We start from the raw sequence: 22,334 nt of genomic DNA, 5'->3' as shown, positions 1-22,334 counted from the left end.
ATTATTGTATTGCTGTCCATATCTTTCCTTAGACCTAACAGTAATTATTTTATGAATTTGGTTGCTCAAGGATTGAGATATATATTTATATATGTATATATATGATTTATATCTATCTATCTACATGATTGTTACATTCTCTTCCTGAACTGATCACTTTATCACTATATACTGGCCTTCTTTGACTTGTTTTTTTTACTGTTTTTGATCTGATGTCTATTTTGTCTGATTTAAATATACTTATTCCTGCTTACTTTTGGTTTCTTTTGGTATGGAATATCTTTTTCCATCCCTTTACTTTCAGTCTATATTTGTCTTTATGGGTAAGGTGAGTTTCTTGTAAGCAGCATATAATTAAATCATGTTTTTAATCCATCCTGCCAATCTAAATCTTTTAAATGGAGTATTTATTCCATTTACACTCAAGGTTAATATTGATATGTGAGGTTTTGTTTCTGTCATATTGTTAACTGTTATCTAGTTCTTTTATAAATTCTTTGTTTCTATCTTTTTCTCTGTTTGTCTTTCTGGTTTGGTGGAGTTCTGTTGTGTTGCTATTTGATTCCTTTCTCCTGCTCCCTTGTGTGATTGTTTTATAAAGTCTGTGAGTTTTATACTTTCATTTCCATGTTTAGGACTCCTTTGAGCAATTCTTGTTTGGCTGGCTAGTGGTGACAAATTCCCTCAGTGTTTGCTTGCCTGTAAAAGGCTTTATTTCTTCTCCATTTATAAAGTTTATTCTGACAGGATATAAAATTCTTGGCTGACATTTTCTTTTAGCTCTTTGAAAATAGCATCTCATTCTCTTTTGGGTTTTAAGGTTTCTGCTGATAAGTCTATTAGTCTGATGGGGATTCCTTTATAGGTGACTAGATGCTTTTCTCTTTCTGATTTTATAATTATTTCTTTCATGGTGCCTTTTCACAGTCTGATTATATGGCATGAAGTCTGTTCTGCAATTGATTTTCTTGACAATCACTGGGGCTTTTGATATCTGAACGTCTAAATCTCTTGCTAGACTAGGGAAGTTTTGTCAATTATTCCCTTATATAGGTTTTCTCAACTTTTTACTTTTTCTTCTTCCTCAGGAATACAAGTGTGATTGATTTATGTGGTCTCATATATCTCAAAGGGCTTGTGCATTCTTTTTTGTCCTTTTTGTTTTTGTCTGGCTTAATGCAAAAGACTTGTGTTCAAGTTCTGAGATTCATTCTTCTGCTTAGTCCAGTCTACTTTTAATGCCTTCAAATTTATTCTGTATTTTCTTCAATGAATTTTTCATTTCCGGAAGTTCTGTTATTTTTTAAGATGTTTATCTTCTCAGTAAATTTCTTGTTTATATCCTGAATTGATTTTCTGATTTCATTGTGTTAGTTTTCAGAACTCTCTTGGATCTCATTGAGCTTCTTTAAAACCAATATTCTAAATGCTTTACCTGGCACTCTGATTTATTTTTGGTTTGGATTCATTAACAGAAAATTACTGTACTCATTTGGGGGTGTCATAATTCCTTGCCTTTTAATGCTTCCTGTACTATTTTGCTGATTTCTGTGCATCTGGAGATATAGTTGCCACTTCGTATTTTTACATTTACTTTTATTGGGGCAGGCCTTTTCTTTTTTTTAGAATGTAACTGTAGTATATGTTGGGTAGCGTCTTTTGGCTTTTCTTCTAGGTGTGTTCAGTGCTAAAGACAGTATTGTTTCCTTGGACATAAATAGTCTTAGTGCGGTGGCTTTCTCAAATGCCAGTTTTAGTAGCAGCAACCTCCTGAGTAGCCAGGGTGGTATAGGCAATGATTGTAAGAAGCTTATCTTGTTCCCAAGTGCTCTATAGTTGTGTAAGCAAATGCTGTAATGGACTGTGCACTCCACCCTCTAGGCCAGTAAGTAGGTGACACTTGCAGGTAAGACCCATCTGCAGTGGTAGCAGTTTACAATAATTGAGGAGGTGAGAATTCTTCCTAACTCATTCTATGAAGCCAGTATCATGCTGATACCAAAAACATATAAGGACACAAGAAAAAGAGAAAACTACAGATAAACATCCCTGATTAACATACATGCAAAAATCCTAGGCAGTGTACTAGCAAGCCAGATCAAACAGCACATCAAAAAGATAGTACAGCATCATCAAGTGGGTTTTATACCACATATACAAGGATGGTTTACCATATGTGAACCAATTAATGGGCTTCATCACATAAACATAATTAAGGAAAAAACATATGATCACCTCAATAGATGCAGAAAAGGCATTTGAAAAAATTCATCCACACTTCATGATAAAAAGCCTCAACCAATTAGGCATAGAAGGAACATACCTCAAAATAATAAAAGCCATGTGTGCCAAACCAATAGCCAATATCATACTGAATGAGGAAAATGTGAAAGCATTCCCTTTAAGAACTAGAAACAAGACAGGGATTCCCACTTTTCGCCACTCATATTCAGCATAATACTGTAAGTCTTAGCCAGTGCAATTAAGCAAAGTAAAGAAATAAAAGGCATCCAAATTGGAAAAGAGAAAGTCAATATATCTCTGTTGATAATATGACCTCATATCTAGAAAACCCTCAAGATTCGATAAAAAACGCTTAGATTTGATAAATGAATTCAGTAAAATTTCAGGATAGAAAAGAAATGTACAAAAATCAGTATGACTTCTATACCCTTATATGATCAAGGTGAGAACCAAATAAAAAAGGCAATTTCAGTTACAATAACTATGAAAAATACAAAATACCTAGGAATATATTTGACCAAAGAAGTGAAAGATCTCTACAAGGAAAACTACAACAGGCTGATGAAATAAATTTTTGATGACACAAACAAATGTAAAAACATCTCATGCCTATAGATCAGAAAGTTACTATAATTAAAATGACCATATTGCCTGATACAGTTTGGCTGTGTCCCCCACCCAAATCTCATCTTGAATTGTACTTCCCATAATTCCCACCAGTCACGGGAGGGACCCAGTGGGAGTTAATTTAATCATGGGGGCAGTTATCTTTATGCTGTTTTCCCGATAGTGAGTGAGTTCTCACAAGATTTGATGGTTTTATAAGGGGCTTTCCCACCTTTGCTCTGCACATTTTGCTGCTGCCATGTGAAGAAGCATGTGTTTGCGTCCCCTTTTGCGAATGATTGTGAGTTTCCTGAGGCCTCCCAAGCCCTGTGGAACTGTGAGTCAATTAAACCTCTTTCCTTCATCAATTAACCAGTCTCAGATATGTCCTTATAGCAGTGCAAGAATGGACTAATACAGTCAATTGGTACTGACAGAGTGAGGTGCTGCTGTAAAAATGTAGATGTGACATTGGAACTAGGTAATAGACAGAGGTTGGAACAGTTTGGAGGGCTCAGAAGAAGATGGGAAAGTTTGGTACTTCCTAGAGACCTGTTGGATGGCTTTGACCAAAATGCTGATAGTGATATGGACAATAAAGTCCAAGCTGAGATGGTCTCAGATGGAGATGAGGAACTTGTTGGGAACTGGAGTAAAGGTCACCCTTGCTATGCAAAGAGACTGGTGGCATTTTGCCCCTGCCCTAGAGATCTGTGGAACTTTGAACTTGAGAGAGATGATTTAGGATATCTGGTGGAAGAAATTTCTAAGCAGCAAAGTGTTCAAGAGGAAGCAGAGCATAAAAGTTTGAAAAACTTGCAGCCTGAAGATGTAGTAGAAAACAAAAACTGATTTTCTGAGGAGAAATTCAAGCTGGTAGCAGAAGTTGGCATAAGTAATGAGGAGCCCAATGCTAATCACCAACAAATGGGGAAAACGTCTCGAGGGCATGTCCGAGACTTCTGTGGCAGCCCCTCTCATCACAGGCTCAGAGGCCTAGGAGGGAAAATGGTTTCCTGGGCCGGGTCCAGCACCCCACTTCTGTGTGCAGTCTCGAGACTTGGTGCCCTGGATCCCAGCTGTTCCAGCCATGGCTAAAGGGGGCCAAGGTACAGCTCTGGCCATGGCTTCAGAGGGTGGAATCCCCAAGCCTTGGCAACTTCCACATGGTGTTGAACTTGTGGGTGCATAGGAGTCAAGAATTGAGGTTTGGGAACCTCTGCCTAGATTTCAGAAGATATATAGAAATGCCTGGATGTCCAGGTAGAAGTTTGGGATTATTTGTTTTCTTGTTACCGAGTAGTTGAGTTCCTTGTATGTTTTGGATATTGGCCCCTTATCTAACATATGATTTGCAAATATCTGTCAATGTATGGGTTGTCTCTTTACTGTTAGTTGTTTCCTCTGCTGTGCAGAAGCTTTTTAATTTGATGTGATCTCATTTGTCTATTTTTGCTTTCATTGCCTGTGCTTTTGGGGTCATATGCAAGAAATCTCTGCCCATTCCAACGTCATGGAGCTTTTCCCCTGTTTTTACTAGTTGTTTTATAGTTTCAAGTCCTAAATTTAAGAATTTAATTAATTTTGAGTTGATTCTTCTATAACTGGTGAAAAAGAGTCCATTTTTATTTTTCTGTATATTGATATCCAGTTCTCCTGATACCATTTAAAGAAGACTGTCCTTTCTACATCGTGCATCTTTTTTGGAAGTTAATTGAACATCGATATTTGGGTGTACTTTTGGGCTGTCTATCTTATTCTGTTGTTTGATGTATCTGTTATGAGTAACATGCTGTTTTAATTATTATAGTTTGTAATATATTTTAAAATTCAGTAATGTAATGCCTCCAGCTTTGCTCCTTTTCCTCAAGATTGCTTTGTCTATTCAGGGTCTTGTGGTTCCACATGACTTTTATGGTTGTTTTTTCTATCTCTGTGAAAAATAGTATTGGAATTTTGATAGGGGTTGCATTGAGTCTGTAAATTGCTTTATGTAGTATGGATATTTTGACAATATTAATTTTTCCAATCCATGAACACAGGACACTGTTCCATTTATTTTTGTCCTCTTCAATTTCTCTTACCAATGTTTTATAGTTTTCAGTGTACAGATTTTTTAAAACTTTTTTTTCCCATTAGTTATTGGGATACAAGTGGTATTTAGTTACATGAGTACATTCTTTAGTGGTGATTTGTGAGATTTTGGTGTACCCATAAGCAGAACAGTATACACTGCACCATACTTGCAGTCTTTTATCCCTCACCCCCTCCCACAATTGCCCCCAAGTCCCCAAAGTCCATTGTATCATTCTTATGCCTTTGCGTCCTCATAGCTTAGTTCCCACATATCAGTGAGAACATACGATGTTTGGTTTTTCATTTCTGAGTTACTTCACTTAGAATAACAGTTTCCGATCTCATCCAGGTCACTGCAAATGCTGTTAACTCATCCCTTTTCTTATGGCTGAGTAGTATTCATGTATATATATTTCACAATTTCTTTATCCACTCGTCGATTGATGGGCATTTGGATTGGTTCCACAATTTTTCAATTGTAAATCGTGCTGCTATAAACGTGCATGTGCAAGTATCTTTTTGTAATAATGACTTCTTTTCCTCTGGGTAGATACCCAGTAGTGGGATTGCTAGATCAAATGGTAGTTCTATTTTTAGTTCTTTAAGGAGTCTCCACACTGTTTTCCATAGTGGCTGTGTTAGTTTACATTCCTACCAGGAGCATAGAAGTGTTCCCAGATCACTGCATCCATGCCAACATCTACTGTTTTTTGATTTTTTGATTATGGCCATTCTTGCAGGAGTAAGGTGGTATCGCATTGTGGTTTTGCTTTGCATTTCCCTGATCATTAGTGATGTTGAGCATTGTTTCTTACGTTTGTTGGCCATTTGTATATCTTCTTTTGAGAATTATCTATTCGTGTTCTTAGCCCACTTTTTGATGGGATTGTTTGTTTTTTTCTTACTTGTTTTCTTACTGATTTGTTTGAGTTCGTTGTAGATTCAGGATATAGTCCTTTGTCAGATGTATAGATTGTGAAGATTTTCTCCCACTCTGTGGGTTGCCTGTTTACTCTGCTGACTGTTCCTTTTGCTATGCAAAAGCTCTTTAGTTTAGTTAGGTCCCAGCTATTTATCTTTGTTTTTATTGCATTTTTTGGGGGTTCTTGGTCATGAAATCCTTGCCTAAGACAATGTTTAGAAGGATTTTTCCAATGTTATCTTCTAGAATTTTTATAATTTCAGGTTTTAGGTTTAAGTCCTTAATCTGTCTTGAGTTGATTTTTGTATAAGGTGTGAGATGAGGATCCAATTTCATTCTCCTACATGTGGTTAGCCAATTATCCTAGCACCAATTGTTGAAAAGGGTATCCTTTCCCCATTTGTTTTTTGTTTTTTGTTTTTTTTTTTTTGAAGACGGAGTCTCGCTGTTGTCGCCTGGGCTGGAGTGCAATGGCGTGATCTCGGCTCACTGCAACCTCTGCCTCCTGTGTTCCAGCAATTCCCCTGCCTCAGCCTCCTGAGTAGCTGAGATTATAGGTGCCTGCTACCATGCCCGGCTAATTTTTGCATTTTTAGTAGAGATGGGGTTTCACCATGTTGGCCAGGCTGGTCTCAAACTCCTGACCTCAGGTGATCCACCCACCTCGACCACCCAAAGTGCTAGGATTACAGGCATGAAGCACTGTGACTGGCCCCTTTCCCCACTTTATGTTTTTGTTTGCTTTGTTGAATATCAGTTGGCTGTAAGTAGTTGGGTTTATTTCTGTGTTCTCTATTCTGTTCCATTGTTCTATGTGCCTATTTTTATACCAGTACCATGCTGTTTTGATGACTATGGACTTATAGTATAGGTTGAAATCAGATAATGTGATGCCTCCAGATTTGTTCTTTTTGCTTAGCCTCGCTTTGACTGTGTGGGCTCTTTTTTGGTTCCATATGAATTTTAGAATTGTTTTCTTTTCTTCTGTGAAGAATGATGGTGATATTTTGATGGAGAGTTCCTTGAATTTGTAGAGTGCTTTTGGCAGTATGGTCATTTTCACAATATTGATTCTACCCATCCATGAGCATGGGATGTGTTTCCATTTGTTTCTGTTGTCTATGATTTCTTTCAGCAGCATTTTATAGTTTTCCTTGTAGAGGTTGTTCAACTCCTTTGTTAGGTATATTCCTAAGTATTTTATTTTTTTTTTTGCTGCTATTGTAAAAGTGGTTGAATTCTTGATTTGGTTCTCTGCTTGGTCGCTGTTGGTGTACAGAAGAGCTACTGATTTGTGTACATTAATCTTGTATCTGGAAACTTTGCTGAATTATCAGTTCTAGGAGCTTTCTGGAGGAGTCCTTAGGGTTTTCAAGGTAAAGGATCATACTGTCAGCAAATGGTGACAGTCTGACTTTGTCTTTACCAATTTGGATGCCCTTCATTTCTTTATCTTTCCTGATTGTTCTGGGTAGGACTCCCAGTACTGTGTTGAAGAGGAGTGGTGAGTGTGGGCATCCTTGCCTTCTTCCAGTTCTCAGAGGGAATGCTTTCAACTTTTCCCCATTCAGTATTATGTTGCCTGTCAGTTTGTCATAGATGGCTTTTATTACATTAAGGTATGTCCCTTTTATGCCGATTTTACTGAGAGTTTTAATCATAAAGCATAATGGATTTTGTTGAATGCTTTTTCTACATCTATTGAGATGATCATGTGCTTTTTGTTTTTAATTCTGTTTATGTGGTGTATCACATTTATTGACTTGTGTACATCCCTGCGTCCCTGTTATGAAACCCACTTGGTCATGGTGGATTATCTTTTTGATATGTTGTTGGATTCAGTTAGAGAGTATTTTGTTAAGGATTTTAGCATCTATGTTCATCAAGGTTATTGGTCTGTAGTTTTCTTTTTTAGTTATCTGCTTCCCTGGTTTTGGTATTAGGGTGATGCTGGCTTCATAGAATGAATTAGGGAGGGTTCCTTCTTTCTCTATCTTGTGGAATAGTGTCAAAAGGATTGGTACCAATTCTTTGAATGTCTGGTAGAATTCTGATGTGAATCCGTCTGGTCCTGGACTTTTTTTTTGTTGGTAAGTTTTAAATTACCATTTCAATCTCACTGCTTGTTATTGGTCTGTTCAGGGTATCTAAGTCTTCCTGATTTAAGCTAGGAAGGTTGTATTTTTTTCCAGGAATTTATCCATCTCTTCTAGGCTTTCTAGTTTATGTGCATAAAGGTGTTCACAGTAGCCTTGAATGATCTTCTGTATTTCAGTGATGTCAGTTGTAATATCTCCTGTTTCATTTCTTAGTGAAGTTATTTGGATTTTCTCTCTTCTTGGTTACTCTTGCTAATAGTCTATCCATTTTATTTATCTTTTCAAAGAACCAGCTTTTTGTTTCATTTATTTTTTGTATTTTTGTTTGTTTGTTTCAATTTCCTTTAGTTCTGCTCTGATCTTGGTTATTTCCTTTCTTCTGTGGGGTTCGGGTTTGGTTTGTTCTTGTTTCTCTAGTTCCTTGTGGTGTGACCTTAGAATGTCAGTTTGTGTTCTTTCTGCCTTTTTGATGTAGGTGTTTAGGGCTATGAAATTTCCTCCTAGCATTGCCTTTGCTGTATTCCAGAGGTTTTGGTAGGTTGCGTCATTATTGTCATTCAGTTCGAAGAATTTTTAAATTTCCATCTTGATTTTGTTTTTAACCTAATGCTCATTCAGGAGCAAGTTATTTAATTTCCATGTATTTGCATGGGTTTTGAAGGTTCCTTTTGGAGTTGATTTCCAGTTTTATTCCACTGTGGTCTGGGAAAGTGCTTCATATAATTTCAATTTTCTTGAATTTATCGAGGCTCGTTTTATGGTCTATCACATGGTCTCTCTTGGAGAAAGTTCCATGTGCTGTTGAATAGAACGTATATTCTGTGGTTGTTGGATGAAATGGTCTGTATATATCTGTCAACGTTCATTTGGTCCAAGGTATAGTTTAAATCCATTGTTTCTTTGTTGACTTTCTGTCTTGATGTCCTGTCTAGTGCTGTCAGTGGAATAGTGAAGTTGCCCACTATTATTGTGTTGCTGTCTATCTCATTTCTTAGGTCTGTTAGTAATTGTTTCATAAATTTGGAATCTCCAGTGTTAGGTGCATATATGTTTAGGATTGTGATATTTTCCTGTTGGACAAAGCCTTTTACCATTATATAATGTCCTTCTTTGTCTCTTTCAACTGCTGTTGTTTTAAAGTTTGTTTTGTCTGATATAACAGTAGTTACGCCTGCTCACTTTTGGTATCCATTTTCATGAAATACCTTTTTCCACCCCTTTACTTTAAGTTTATGTGAGTTCTTATGTGTTAGGTGAGTGTCCTGAAGGGAGCAGATATTTGGTTGGTGAGTCCATCTGTTCTGTGGTTCTGTATCTTTTAAGTGGAATATTTAGGCCATTCATGTTCAATGTTACTATTGAAGTGTGAGGTACCATTGCATTCATTGTGCTCTTTGTTGCTTGTGTAATTAGGTTTTTTTGTTTATTGTTTTTGCTTCTTAACTTATATTTTTGTTTTATAAGTCCTGTGTGATTTATGCTTTAAAGAGGTTCTGTATCAATGTGTTTCCAGGATTTGTTTCAAGATTTAGAGCTTCTTTTAGTAGTTCTTGTTGTGGGTAGCTTGGTAATGGCAAGTTCTCTCAGCATTTGTTTGTCTGAAAATGACTGTATCTTTTGTTCATATATGATGCTTAGTTTCACTGGACAAAAACTTCTTGGCTGATAATTGCTTTGTCTGAGGAGGCTGAAGAAACCCTTCTAGCTTGTAGAGTTTCTGCTGGGTTATATGCTGTTAATCTGATAGGTTTTTCTTTATTGGTTACCTAGTGCTCCATCTCACAGCTCTTGAGATTTTTTCCTTTGTCTTAACTTTTGATAACCTGATGACAATGTGCCTAGGCAATGATCTTTTTGCAATGAATTTCCCAGGTGTTCTTTATGCTTCTTGTATTTGGATGTCTAGGTGTCTAACAAGGCTGGGGAAGTTCTCCTTGATTATTCCCCCAAATATCTTTTCCAAGCTTTTAGAATTCTCTTCTTCCTCAGGAACACTGATTAGTCTTAGGTTTGGTTGTTTTACGTAATTCCAGACTCCATGGAGGCTTTGCTCATATTTTCTTTTTTTTTTTCCTTAGTATTTGTTGGATTGGGTTAATTTCAAGACCTTGTCTTTGAGCTCTGAATTTCTTTCTTCTACTTGTTCAATTCTATTGCTGAGACTTTCCAGAGTATTTTGCATTTCTAAAAGTGTTTCCAAAGTTTCCTGAATTTTTGATTGTTTTTTCTTTAAGCTATCTATTTTGTTGAATATTTCTCCCTTCACCTCTGGTATCATTTTTTGATTTCCCTGCATTGAGCGTCACCTTTCTCTGGTGCCTCCCTGATTAGCTTAATAACTAATATCCTGAATTCTTTTTCAGGTAAGTCAGGGATTTCTTCTTGGTTTGAATCCATTGCTGGTGAACTAGTGTGATTTTTTGGGGGTGATAAAGAGCCTTGTTTTGTCATATTACCAGGGTTGGTTTTCTGGTTCCTTCTTATTTAGGTAGGCTGTCAGAGGGAAGGTCTAGGGCTGAATGCTGTTATTCAGATTCTTTTGTTCCACAGGGTGTTCCTTTGATGTAGTACTCTCCCCCTTTTCCTATGAATGTGGCTTCCTGTGAGCTGAACTGCTGTGATTGTTGTCTCTCTTCCAGGTCTAGCCACCCAGTGAGTCTACTCAGCTCTGGGCTGGTACTGGGTGTTGTCTGCAGAGAGTCCTGTGATGTGAACCGACTATGGGTCTCTCAGCTCCTGTTCTGGTGGAGGTGGTGGTAGGAAGATGCAGTGGACTCTGTGAGGGTTCTCAGCTTTGGTGGTTTAATGCTCTATTTTTGTGCTGGTTGGCCTCCTGCTGGGAGGTGGCACTTTCCAGAGGGCATCAGCTGTGGTAGTATGGAGAGGAACTGGCAGTGGGCAGGGCCATAGAACTCCCAAGATTATATGACCTTTGTCTTTAGCTACCAGGGTGGGTAGAGGAGGACCATCAGGTTGGGGCAGGGCTAGGTGTGTCTGAGTTCAGACTCTCTATGGGCAGGTCTTGCTGTGGCTGCTGTAGGGGATGGGGGTGGGATTCCCAGGTCACTAGAGTTGTGTGCCTAGGAAGATTATGGCTACCTCTGCTGAGTCACGCATGTTGTCAGGGAAGTGGGGGAAAGCTGGCAGTCACAGGCCTCACCCAGCTGCCATGCAAACTGAAGGGCCAGTCTTACTTCCACCATGGCCCCCAAAACTGTTGTGCCCGAGCGAGTTAGAAAAATGCCACACTTTGAGATGAATTAAGAGTCCTTTATTAGCCGGCGACCGAGAGATGGCTAACGCTCAAAATTCTCTCGGCCCCGAGGAAGGGGCTTAACTTTTATATCTTGGTTTAAGAAGGGGAGGGGGGGGTCTAGTTAAAACAATTTTACAGAAGTTAAGTACTCAAAAAAGTTAAAAGGACAAATGGTTACAGGAAAGTAAACAATTCCAGGTGCAGGGGCTTTAAGACTATTACAAGGTGATAGATGGGGGGCTTTGGCCGTTATCAGTCAGATGAATTCTTGGTCACTGCGGATATAGCTTGCCACAGTATCTTATCAGTTAATTGCATTCTTGGATGTTCTGGGAGTCAGCTTGCACAAGTTAAGTCCTTGAGGAAGGCACTGCCAGTGAAAGTGCCAAGATGGAGTTTGTCTGGTTCTCTTAGCTAAGGGAGAAACAAGGCCAGGTGAATAAGGAAAAAACAAGGTTGGGCATTACAAAACAGCTCTGAGTATGTTTCCAGGCTGTGGGCAAGATGGGCTTGAAAACTTGCCCCAGGCTACCTGCCTCCCAGCTGAGAAAGAAAAGAGCTTGGTTCTTATCAGCCTGTGGAGTCTGCACACTGGATTTGCACCCTCCCTTGAGGTCTGGCCAGGAGGCTTCTCGCCCCATTCAAATTGTTACAAATTTCAACAAGAGATGTCCTTCTCCCTGTGTAGTTTTACCCCCTGCTCCTCTGGCTGTCCTCCTGATGGATCCTTGTGGTGCCAGGTAGGAATGGGCTGCTTGGGGACCCAGTGTGCTCCCAGAGCCTTTCTGCTGCGTCCTCTACCCCTGTATTTGCTCAGCTCTCTAAATTGACTAAGCTCCAGATAAGATTGGAAACTTCTCCCGCAAACAGACCTGCTGTTTCTCCAGTGCAGGTGTGTGTTTGGGAGAGGAGGGTCTCCCTTTCCCACTTCTGCAGTTGGGGCACTCACAGTATTTGGTGTGCCTCCCAGGTTCTGCAGGAGCAGTCTGCTTCCTTCAGAGGTTCTGTGGGTCCTCTCGGGATTGGTAGTTTGTTCTTGCAGTTGATCTGGAGCTTAAATTCACAATGTGAGCCTACATGCTGCTCTGTCCAGAGCTGCAATCTAGTCCTGCTTCCTGTCCACCATGATGATCCTTCAGTGTACAGACCTTTGACCCCTGATAAAATTTACTCCTCTGTACTTTTTGGATATGATTGTAAGTGGGACTGCTTTCTTAATTTCTTTTTCAAACAGCACATTGTTAATGTACAGACATACTTCTGATTTTTGTAAATTGATTTTTTATCTTGCAACTTTACTGAATTTATTTATCACTTCTAACAGTTCTTTGGTGGAGTCTTTATAGTTTTTTTTTTATATATAGGATCATGTTGTCAGCAAGCAGAGACAGTTTCACTTTTTCCTTTCCTAATTGAATGCCTTTTATTTATTTTTCTTGCCTAATTGCTCTGGTAGGACTTCCAATATTATGTTGCACAGAGGTGGTAAGAGTGTGCATCCTTGTATTATTCCTTATCCTAGAGGAAAAGTCATCATGTTTTCACCATTGAATATGTTGAAGTCATCATGTTTTCACCGTTGAATATGTTAGGTGTGTGCTTCTCATATATGGACTTTGTTGTGTTGAGGAACATTCCTTCTATACCTAATTTGTTGAGAGTTTTTGTTGTGAGAGGAGGTTTAATTTTGTCAAATGCTTTTGTGCACCTATTGAGATGATCATATGTTTTTTGTCCTTCATTCTGCCAATATAGTGAATCACATTTATTGATTTGTGAATGTTGATCATCTTCACATCCCAGAGATAAGTCCCATTTGATCATGGTGAATGATCCTTTAATGTACAGTTGAATAGAGTTTGATAGTATTTTGGTGATAATTTTTGCATCTATGTTCATCAGTGATGTTGGCCTGTACTTTTCTGATAGTGACTTTGGCTTTGGTATCAGGGTAATGCTGGCCTTGTAAAATGAGTTTGGAAGTATTCTCTTTTCTTCAATTTTTTGTTAGAGTTTGAGAAGGATTGATATTAGTTCTTTAAATGTTTGGTAGCATTCAACCATGAAGCCATTTGGGTCTGGGCTTTTCCTTGATGGGACATTTTTGACTACTAATTCAATCTCTTTGCTCATTATTGGTCTGTTCAGATTTCTGATTTCTTTATGATTCTGTCTTGCTAGGTGATATGGTTTGGTTGTGTCCCCACCCAAATCTCATCTTGAATTGTAACTCCCACAATTCGCATATGTTGTGGGAGGAACCTGGTGGGAGGAGATTGAATTATGGGGGCAGGTCTTTTCTGCACTGTTCTCATGATAGTGAATAAGTCTCATGAGATCTAATGGTTTTTAAAAGGGGAGTTCCCCTGCACAAGCTCTCTCTCTCTTTGCCTGCTGCCATCCATGTAAGACGGGACTTGCTCCTTGCCTTCTGCCATGATTGTGAGGCCTCCTCAGCCACGTGGAACTGTAAGTCCATTAAACTTCTCTTTCTTTTGTAAATTGCCCAGTCTCGGGTATGTCTTTTATCAGCAGCGTGAAAACGGACTAATACAGTAGGCTATTTGTTTCAAGGAATTTATTAATTTTTTGTATGTTGTCGAATTTGTTTGTATATGATTGTTTATATTAGTCTCTTATGATGCTTTCTGTTTTTGTGTAATAAGTTGCAATGTCTCCTCTTTCATTTTTGAAATGAGTTTTGGTTGAGTCTTCTCCCTTTTTTTCTTAGTCTAGCTAATGGTTTGTCAATTTTGTTTACCTTTTCAGAAAAAAACCTCTTAGTTTCATTCATCTTTTGTATAACTTTTCTAGTCTCGATTTTATTTACTTTTGCCCTGATCTTTCTTATTTTTTTCTTCTTCTAACTTTGGGCTTAGTTTGTTATTCTTTTACTAGTTCTTGGGGTGGAATATTAGTTTGTTTATTTGCAGTTTTCCATTTTTTTGAGGTAGGGATTTACTGCTATGAAATTCGCTCTTAGAACTGCTTTTGCTACCACCATAAATTTTGGCATGTTGTGTTTCCATTTTTGACTTAGTGTTTCCATTTTAAAATTTCCCTTTTAATTTCTTTGACCAAATAGTTGTTCAGGAGCATATTGTTTACTTTCCATACAGCTGGCAATTTTCCTGATTTCTCCTGTTATTTACTTCTAGTTTTATGCCATTTTGGTTGGAAAAAATACTTGATATGATTTTGATACTTTTAAATTTGTTAAGTTTTCTTTGTGGCTTAACACATGATATATCTGGGAGAATATTCTGCATCCACTTGAGAAGAATGTGTATTCCATTGCTGTTGGGTGGCATGTCAAGTACATGTCTATTATGCCCATTTGGTCTAAAGTATAGTTCAAATCCAGTGTTTCCTTATTGATTTTATTTCTGGGTGATCTGTCTTTTGTTGTAAGTGGGGTATTGAAATATCCTATTATTGTGTTGCAGTGTGTTTCCTTTCAGATCTCTTAATGTTTGCTTTATTTCTCCATCTTTTTTTATTTTTTGGCAGGATTTTGCCCTGTTGCCCAGACTGGAATGCAGTGGCACAATCACAGCTCACTGCAGCCCTGACCTCCCAGGCCCAAGCAAACAGCTGGGACCACAGGTGTACACTACCATACCTGGCTAATTTTTAAATTTTTTGTAGAGTTGGGCTCTCCCTATGTTGCCCATCCTGGTCTTGAACTCCTGGGCTCAAGTAATCCTCCTGCCTTGGCCTCCAAAAGTGCTGGGATTATAGTCATGAGCCACCATGCCCGGCCTGCCTTATATATTTAGATGCTCTGCTATTGGGTGCACACACACACACACATTTATGTATATATTTACATATATATATTTACAATTGTTTGCTCCTTTTAATGAATTAAACCCTTTACCACAGTATAATGACCTTGTCTCTTTTTACAGTTTTGACTTAAAGTCTATTTTTTTCTGAAATAAGTATACCTACCCCTGCTGTCTTTTGTTTTCTATTTGAATGAAATATATTTTTCCCTCTCTTCATTTTCATTCTATGAGTATCCTTTAAGATGATGTGAATTGTAGACGGCATACAGTTGGGTCTTATTTTTTTAGTGCAGACATTTGCTCTGTGCATTTTGATTGAAAAATTTAGTCCATTTACATTCAAAGTAATTATCGGTAGGTGAAGACTTACTAGTGCCATTTTGTTAATCATTTTCTGGTTGTTTTGTAAATCCTTTGTTTCTGCTTTTCTCTGTTGCTTTCTTCCTTTGTGGCCTGATGGCTTTCTGCTGTAGTATGCTTTGGATCTTTTCTTTTTATCTTTTGTATATCAAATATAGGCTTTTGCTTTGTGATTATCCTGAGGCTTACATAAATCATCTTATAATGTGGTATTTATCTTGGAAACAACTAAATTTTGATCACATATAAAACTTTAAACTTTTACTCCCCTTCCTCTCACATTTTATGTTTTTGATGTCTCACTTTCATCTTTTTATAATTTGTATTCCTCAACAAATTACTGCAGCTTTAGTTGTTTTTAATAGCTTTGTCTTTTAACCTTTATACTAGAGATATAATGGATTTACCCACTGCCATAACAGTGGCAGTGTTTTGGTTTTGACAGTGTAGTTGTTTTTATTACCGGGTTTTATACTTTCATATGTTTTCGTATTACTAACTAGTGTCCTCTTCAGCTTGAAGAACTCCCTTGACATTTTAACACAAGTCTAGTGGTGATAAACTCTCTCATCTTTTTTTGTCTGAGAAAGTATTTATCACCTCTTCATTTTGAAAAATAGGATTGCTTGGTATAATATACTTGACTGGCAGTGTTTTTTCTTTCTGGATTTTGCATCTATCATTCTATACTCTTCTGGCCTGCAAGGTTTCTGCTGAGAAATCCATTGATAGTTGCATGGTGGTTCCCTTATAAATGATGTTCACTTTTCCCTTGCTGCTTTTAACACTGCATTTGCTTTTAGCTTTCAACAATTTGATTACGATATAGCTTGGTGTGGGTCTCTTTTGATTCATCTTATTTGGTGTATTTTGTGCTTCCTGGATCTGGCTTTCTCTTTTCTTCTCCAGTCTTGGGAATTTTTCTGCTACGATTTCTTTGAATATGTTTTCGGTTTCTTTCCTTCTCTAGTCTCCTTCTTGTACACTGATAATATGTAACCTATCTTTTTTTTTTTTTTTTTTTTTTTTTTGGGACAGAGTCCTGCTCTGTAGCCCAGGCTGGAATGCAATGGTGTGATCTCGCTCCGTCTCCCGGATTCAAGCAATTCTCCTGTCTCAGCCTCCCGAGTAGCTGGGATTACAGGCGCCTACCACAGTGCCTGGATAATTTTGTATTTTAGTAGAGATGGGGTTGCATCATGTTGTAGCTGGTCTCAAACTCCTGACCTCAGGTGATCTGCCCACTTCGACTTCCCAAAGTGCTGGGATTACAGGCATAAGCCACTGCGCCTGACCTTATGTAACCTATCTTTACTCTTTTTCATTATTTTTTCTTTTTGTTCCTGAGAGTGAATGATTTCTGGTGATCTGTCTTCAAGTTCATTGATCTTTCCTTCTGCTTGATTAGTCTGCTACTCAACCCCTCTGCTGAATTTTTTAGTTAGGGTTCAGTTATAGTATTCTTCAGTCTATAACTTTTGTTCGGTACTTTTTATTACTTTCTATCTTTTTTTATCAATGCTCTCATTTTGTTTTTGTGTTGCTCTCCTGACTTCATTGAGGATCTGTAATACCATTAGTTTGAATTCCCTGTCAGATAAACTACATATCTCCAATTCATTCAGATTGGTTTATGTAGATTTACCTTGTTCCTTTATTTGGGAACAAGATAAATCTTGATCTTAATTTCCCTTGACTCTCTGTTATGATTTCTTTCTTTTTTTTGTTTTTGAGACAGTGGCTCTCTCTATCACCCAGGCTGGAGTGCAGTGGCGCTATGTCAGCTCACTGCAACTTCCGTCCCCCAGGCTCAAGCAGTTCTCTCACCTCAGCCTCCTGAGTAGCTGGGATTACAGGCATGTGCCACCATACCCAGCTGATTTTCATATTTTTAGTAGTAATGGGGTCTCACCATTTTGGCCAGGCTGGTCTTGAACTCCTGACCTCAAGTGATCCACCTGCCTTGGCCTCCCGAATTTCTGGGATTATAGGCATGAGCCACTGTGCCTGGCCCTCTGTTATGATTTCTAATTAAAAAGAAATACATGTATCAAATAGGCATGGTAAGACATCCAAACATTATAAAAAGGCATGTGGATGAAAAATGGACCTTCCTGATACTGCAGATCTCTAGTCCGTCTCTCCTAATGAAACAAACAAACAAAAAACAACAGATATTTTATGTACCATTGGGCTAGGTGATGGAAATACAAGAATAACAAAATGCATGTGGTCTCTGCCCTGAAATGTTTTTAGTGTTCTAAAGAAGATAGACACCACAATATGCAGTTACAGCGTCATTAATTTTAGAATAGGGAAGTCCAGGTTCTGATAGGGAATTCCAGGTTACACTCATAATAATAGGCGAGAGAAGTATGTATGTTAATTTAATGAAAGTGAGGTCTGTAGAGGTTAGGTAAATTGCCAGAAGTCACAGTTTTGTAAATTATGGAGATAGGATTTCTGAACACATCTGTTTGAATCAAAGTTCATATTATTTCTGGGAACTACTTGATTTATCAGTAGAGTGCTTCAGTTTCGGTTTTACTTTCTGTAATGTCTGAGGAGAGAAACTTAGTGACAAGAGGGAATTTCCCAGCTACAAAAAGACATAATTGGAAAAATATTTATTATTAATAGACACTACTTAGGAAATTCCATTTTCCTTTTATATTTTACTTGGCAGGTTTCCAAGAATGTGGAAGAACATGTAACTAGTATTTCGCTTGCATTTAAACATTTTCGCCTTTGAATTCAGCGGGATATTTTGCTTTTTAATTTTTTTTCAGAATTCAAAATTGTATTTTTCACCTGTCACTCCTGGGTCATAAACAAAATATACTAAGGTATATTAACTTTTTAGCTGGGCGCGGTGGCTCACGCCTGTAATCCCAGCACTTTGGGAGGCTGAGGCGGGCAGATCACAAGGTCAGGAGATCGAGACCATCCTGGCTAACACGGTGAGACCCCGTCTCTACTAAAAATACAAAAAAATCAGCCGGGCGTGGTGGCGGGCGCCTGTAGTCCCAGTTGCTCCGGAGGCTGAGGCAGGAGAATGGCGTGAACCCGGGAGGCGGAGCTTGCAGTGAGCCGAGATCGCGCCACTGCACTCCAGCGCGCCACAGCACTCCAGCCTGGGCGACAGAGCGAGACTCCGTCTCAAAAAAAAAAAAAAAAAAAGGCAACACACACACACACACACACACACACACACACACTTCTTAAGAAGTGACTGTGAAAGGAGGTTATAAGTTCAGTAACCTTTTTAACATCCTGTTTTGGGCAGATACAGTTGTAGAAGAAGGCGGAGCTGTTCTTATTGTAGTAGCCTGTGTAATCTAGGTCATCACAGGGCGGGCTGGTGCAATTCTCTGGAAGGGGGAACTATGACTGCATCAGGGATCCAACGTCAGCAGCTGAACATGACAAAACTGTGGAGTTTATTGGGACATAAAGAGCACTCAGGAACCTTCTTTGGCTCAATTTTAATAGTTGTCAAACAGAATAGAAATGTCTGCCCTTCCAGGGCAGCCATTTTTGTACAACTCCAGTGGGGATGTTGTTCACAGTGGGGAGGTATCATTCACATGGAATACATGATCATTGGGGCCCCTGAAGTTGTGCAATGTGGAGGTACTATGGTCTATTTATCTTCCAAGATTGTTCTGAGAGGCTCAAGTTACACAATGAATATATAAGGACTTTATAAGCCTGTCAATATTCGTAAATAATGACAATAATAAGTGTTGTTTTCTGGCCAATTCTGCCCTTTGAGCAAAGCTTTCTTATCTAGTTTGCACTACTGGCTAAGACTTGGCTTAGCACTCACAGTGAAGCTGTGGAGTTCTCTTTCTGAATATATACATTTTCACAGAACACAAACTTCACACATGATCTCTTTGTGACTATAATGGAGCAAGATGGAAATTAGACTACTTCATGATCATTTCAGAACAGAGAAAAATAAGAACACTGTCCAATCCATGAAAATGAGTGAACATTCCCCTTTCCTGGCTAATAATGAATAACTGCTGATTCTTTCCAATTATAGCATTAGCTTACTTCATTCCTTTCAATGTTTAGATAAGAATAATTAAGATACCTAATCAGGGAATTCCCCCTGTTTCTGTACAACATCCAGTCCAGGGAAGATCCCCATTTTCTTGAAAGCTCCCCCGAATCACCTACCACAAACTCAAATCCTGTAAGTTTTTTCTAACACCTTCTTACTGATATGCTCAAGGGTCTCCCATGGTATTTGTTTCTCCCCCTTGCAATGAATTAATAAACCCAGTTTTATAGAACTGCAGATGTGTTGCTGGTGGTCTTTGACTAGAGGACATTGACAAATTCATACAGTAGTTATTACTCAGCCAGGAGCCCTCTCTCTATCTCAGTCAGAGAGGTGGCTCCTCTGACTTCTCTAAGGATTTTGTCTATGGCATTGGTGCTGTTTCAGAGCCCATAGCTGGACATGTAAACATCAGAACCAAATAACATAAATTTCCAGTTTTATTTATTTTAATATGTTTTAGAGACGGTGTCTCACTCTGTCACTCAGGTTGGAGTGCAGTGGCTCAGACATGGCCCACTGCAGCCTGGACCGCTCAAGGCTCAGGTAATCCTCCCACCGCAGCACCCCAAATAGCTGGGACTACAGGCATGCACCACCACATCTGGCCAATTTTTGTATTTTTTATAGAGACAAGTTTTCACCATATCACCCAGGCTGGTCTTAAACTCCTGAGCTCAGGCAATCCGCCCACCTCGGCCTCCTAAATTGCTGGGTTTTACAGGTATGAGCCACCTTGCCAGGTTTGCAGTTTTCTTTAGATTTGCTTTGTGATAAGGTGGTAAACTTGTTAGAATAAAGGGATTATGTAAATTTCTATTTAGTGAGTAATCAAATGGTACACACATCTAAATTAAATGTCTAAGATAGCTTAGTTATTAAGCAGCTTACATGGAAGACAGCAGAGTATACATATGTATATCTACACAAATATTTAACAGAAACACTGTAAAGAGATTCAGTAATATTCATGCTAAAATGAGAAGAAGACTAGGGAGGTAGTGAATGAAGAATCAAATCAGTAGTATTTTGTAGGGAATAAATTATCGAGGAAAATTTATGGAAAGAGAAGATCTGAAGGTGCAGTTTAAACGAGATGACTATTTTTGCTACCACAGACAACAAAAAGTTTTTCCAGAGTCTGGATGGTACATTTTTAATGTATGGTCATGGTTAATCATGTGTGCATCCTCTTATACTCTGGGGCAATAAAATGTTTTAATAGGTGAGTACCATAATATGAATTAGTAATTTTGTATTCATAACTTGTAGGCAGATGTGCAAAGGCTCTAAAAATCTGCATAATGTATGCCTAACCTAAATCACACATATAAAAACATGTTAACAGGATTGTGCTTGGTTTTAAGTTCAGTTTCTATTTTAGTATTCACATTGCTCATCCTTGCTGAAACTCACTTTTCTCATTTATAAGAGTTATAGGAGGAGTGAATACGATAATGCATGTGGAACTGCTTCATGAACTGTGGTACATTAATTAATTTTAGTTTTGGATCCTGGCTCTGCTCTAAGGTTTTCTCTTTTCCAGCTTAGTGTTGTTTTGAGGGTGAACACTGTGCTAGGCATATGCAGAAAAAGTAGCAATTATTCTACCTTTAGATGTTTTGCTATTAACATAGTTTCTAAAATTACTCATCTGTGGGGTGTTCAATAAATATTTCTCTACTGACTAACATATGACAGGCAGATCAGTTAATTGGATGTAATACTTTCATTCATACAGTGTAGCATGTGATCTTATACATGGAAATTGGCAAAATGTGCCAGAGTTACCAAACTGGCTTTCAGGATCTAGTTGTGACAGTCAGTTTTGGTTTATTATCTCTCCTGTATTTGCTGTGACTTGTACCTGTTTATATAATCTCATGTATAACATCAAATCTCTTAGCAAGAATTTAACACTGACTTTGAATGCAGTTAAATCTCAACCTGATTAAGGATTGTTTTCTAATACAACTCTTTCCCTAAACCTCAAAACATTTAGAGAATTCTAAGGGTCTTCTTTTGCCTCAGTTACCACTCATAGCACTAATGCAATGGGTTGGCTGCTTTGGCATTATGGGATGCTTGTTTTGACTATTGAGGTTTTGAATATTACAAATATAGTGAAACAATAGTGAAGCACAGATTGCCCAGAAAGGGTAAAGTTTCAACATCTTCCCACAAAAACAATGATTGAGTCTTTTCATTAGTTAGCTCCTAAAAAATCAGCATAAAACTAGATAATAATAGGATACCTGCTGATCTGTGAGATAAAAACATTCTTTTAAATTGCATGCCAATTTGAAAAGATAAATATTGATGCCAATGTACTGGTGATGAAGTGGGGGCCTGGGGTGTGGGGATGAGACCAGCTGGCAGACATTGGCTAAGCCAGACCCTGGGCTGAGTTGGATTGCATAGGCCTTGTGACTCTATTATTAAACACAGATCCTGAGGGTGAATGACAGCATCTGTGAGATTTTTGAGTCAGTTCTGAAGTAGGTTCTCAGCCAAGTTAGGCAGACATAGAAAAGTAATTATAAAATGCCTAGGCACCAGCCCCACCTAGAGTTGATGCTTAGAATGAGGTAGATAGTAGCAGAAGGAGCAGTTTTTTAAGCCAGTGAGCTTTACAGTGGGGGAAGGGGCAGAATGGGGAAGTCCTTTATTCTGAGCTCTTAAGCATGCCAGGAGCAGATGCCTGATTTTACTGTGTGGCACTTTGTGGCCCAGAAACTTTCCAGATTCTGTATTTTCCTATCTGGTTAAATGTAACTGTATTTACCTGTGTTTCAAAGCCTGAATGCTTTATTTATTCTCTACTTAATTTTCTTTTCCAGTTTTTCCTAACAAGCTTCCCTAGATTTACTTGTTCTCACTTCCTAGACGCTATTTGTATTCTTCCTTC

The 22,334-nt window shown here is 38.4% G+C and overlaps 1 long non-coding RNA gene across 1 annotated transcript in view, besides 7 other annotated features; it reads left to right on the top strand.

The window, feature by feature from the left end:
* Positions 1-22,334, top strand: part of PARAIL (palmitic acid regulated anti-inflammatory lncRNA) — a 40,313-nt gene that overhangs the window by 9,728 nt on the left and 8,251 nt on the right. The gene's annotated exons all lie outside the window — the stretch shown is intronic.
* Positions 10,218-10,807: an enhancer, noted in NCBI's record as "OCT4-NANOG-H3K27ac hESC enhancer chr8:90749405-90749994 (GRCh37/hg19 assembly coordinates)". NCBI's record gives its function as "activates a minimal SCP1, AML or CMV promoter by ChIP-STARR-seq in naive H9 embryonic stem cells {active_cell/tissue: H9 hESC(naive)}" and the evidence as "EXISTENCE:reporter gene assay evidence [ECO:0000049][PMID:30033119]".
* Positions 18,232-18,281: an enhancer, noted in NCBI's record as "active region_27603". NCBI's record gives its function as "activates an Ori minimal core promoter by ATAC-STARR-seq in GM12878 lymphoblastoid cells {active_cell/tissue: GM12878}" and the evidence as "EXISTENCE:reporter gene assay evidence [ECO:0000049][PMID:35858748]".
* Positions 18,482-18,531: a silencer, noted in NCBI's record as "silent region_19344". NCBI's record gives its function as "represses an Ori minimal core promoter by ATAC-STARR-seq in GM12878 lymphoblastoid cells {active_cell/tissue: GM12878}" and the evidence as "EXISTENCE:reporter gene assay evidence [ECO:0000049][PMID:35858748]".
* Positions 21,731-22,280: an enhancer, noted in NCBI's record as "NANOG hESC enhancer chr8:90737932-90738481 (GRCh37/hg19 assembly coordinates)". NCBI's record gives its function as "activates a minimal SCP1, AML or CMV promoter by ChIP-STARR-seq in naive H9 embryonic stem cells {active_cell/tissue: H9 hESC(naive)}" and the evidence as "EXISTENCE:reporter gene assay evidence [ECO:0000049][PMID:30033119]".
* Positions 21,876-21,975: an enhancer, noted in NCBI's record as "active region_27602". NCBI's record gives its function as "activates an Ori minimal core promoter by ATAC-STARR-seq in GM12878 lymphoblastoid cells {active_cell/tissue: GM12878}" and the evidence as "EXISTENCE:reporter gene assay evidence [ECO:0000049][PMID:35858748]".
* Positions 22,026-22,075: an enhancer, noted in NCBI's record as "active region_27601". NCBI's record gives its function as "activates an Ori minimal core promoter by ATAC-STARR-seq in GM12878 lymphoblastoid cells {active_cell/tissue: GM12878}" and the evidence as "EXISTENCE:reporter gene assay evidence [ECO:0000049][PMID:35858748]".
* Positions 22,106-22,155: an enhancer, noted in NCBI's record as "active region_27600". NCBI's record gives its function as "activates an Ori minimal core promoter by ATAC-STARR-seq in GM12878 lymphoblastoid cells {active_cell/tissue: GM12878}" and the evidence as "EXISTENCE:reporter gene assay evidence [ECO:0000049][PMID:35858748]".

The sequence above is a fragment of the Homo sapiens genome, chromosome 8 (assembly GCF_000001405.40).
Source record: "Homo sapiens chromosome 8, GRCh38.p14 Primary Assembly".
Classification (NCBI taxonomy): domain Eukaryota; kingdom Metazoa; phylum Chordata; class Mammalia; order Primates; family Hominidae; genus Homo; species Homo sapiens.
Note: the sequence above shows the minus strand (reverse complement) of the source record. Positions and strands in the feature narration are given on the sequence as shown.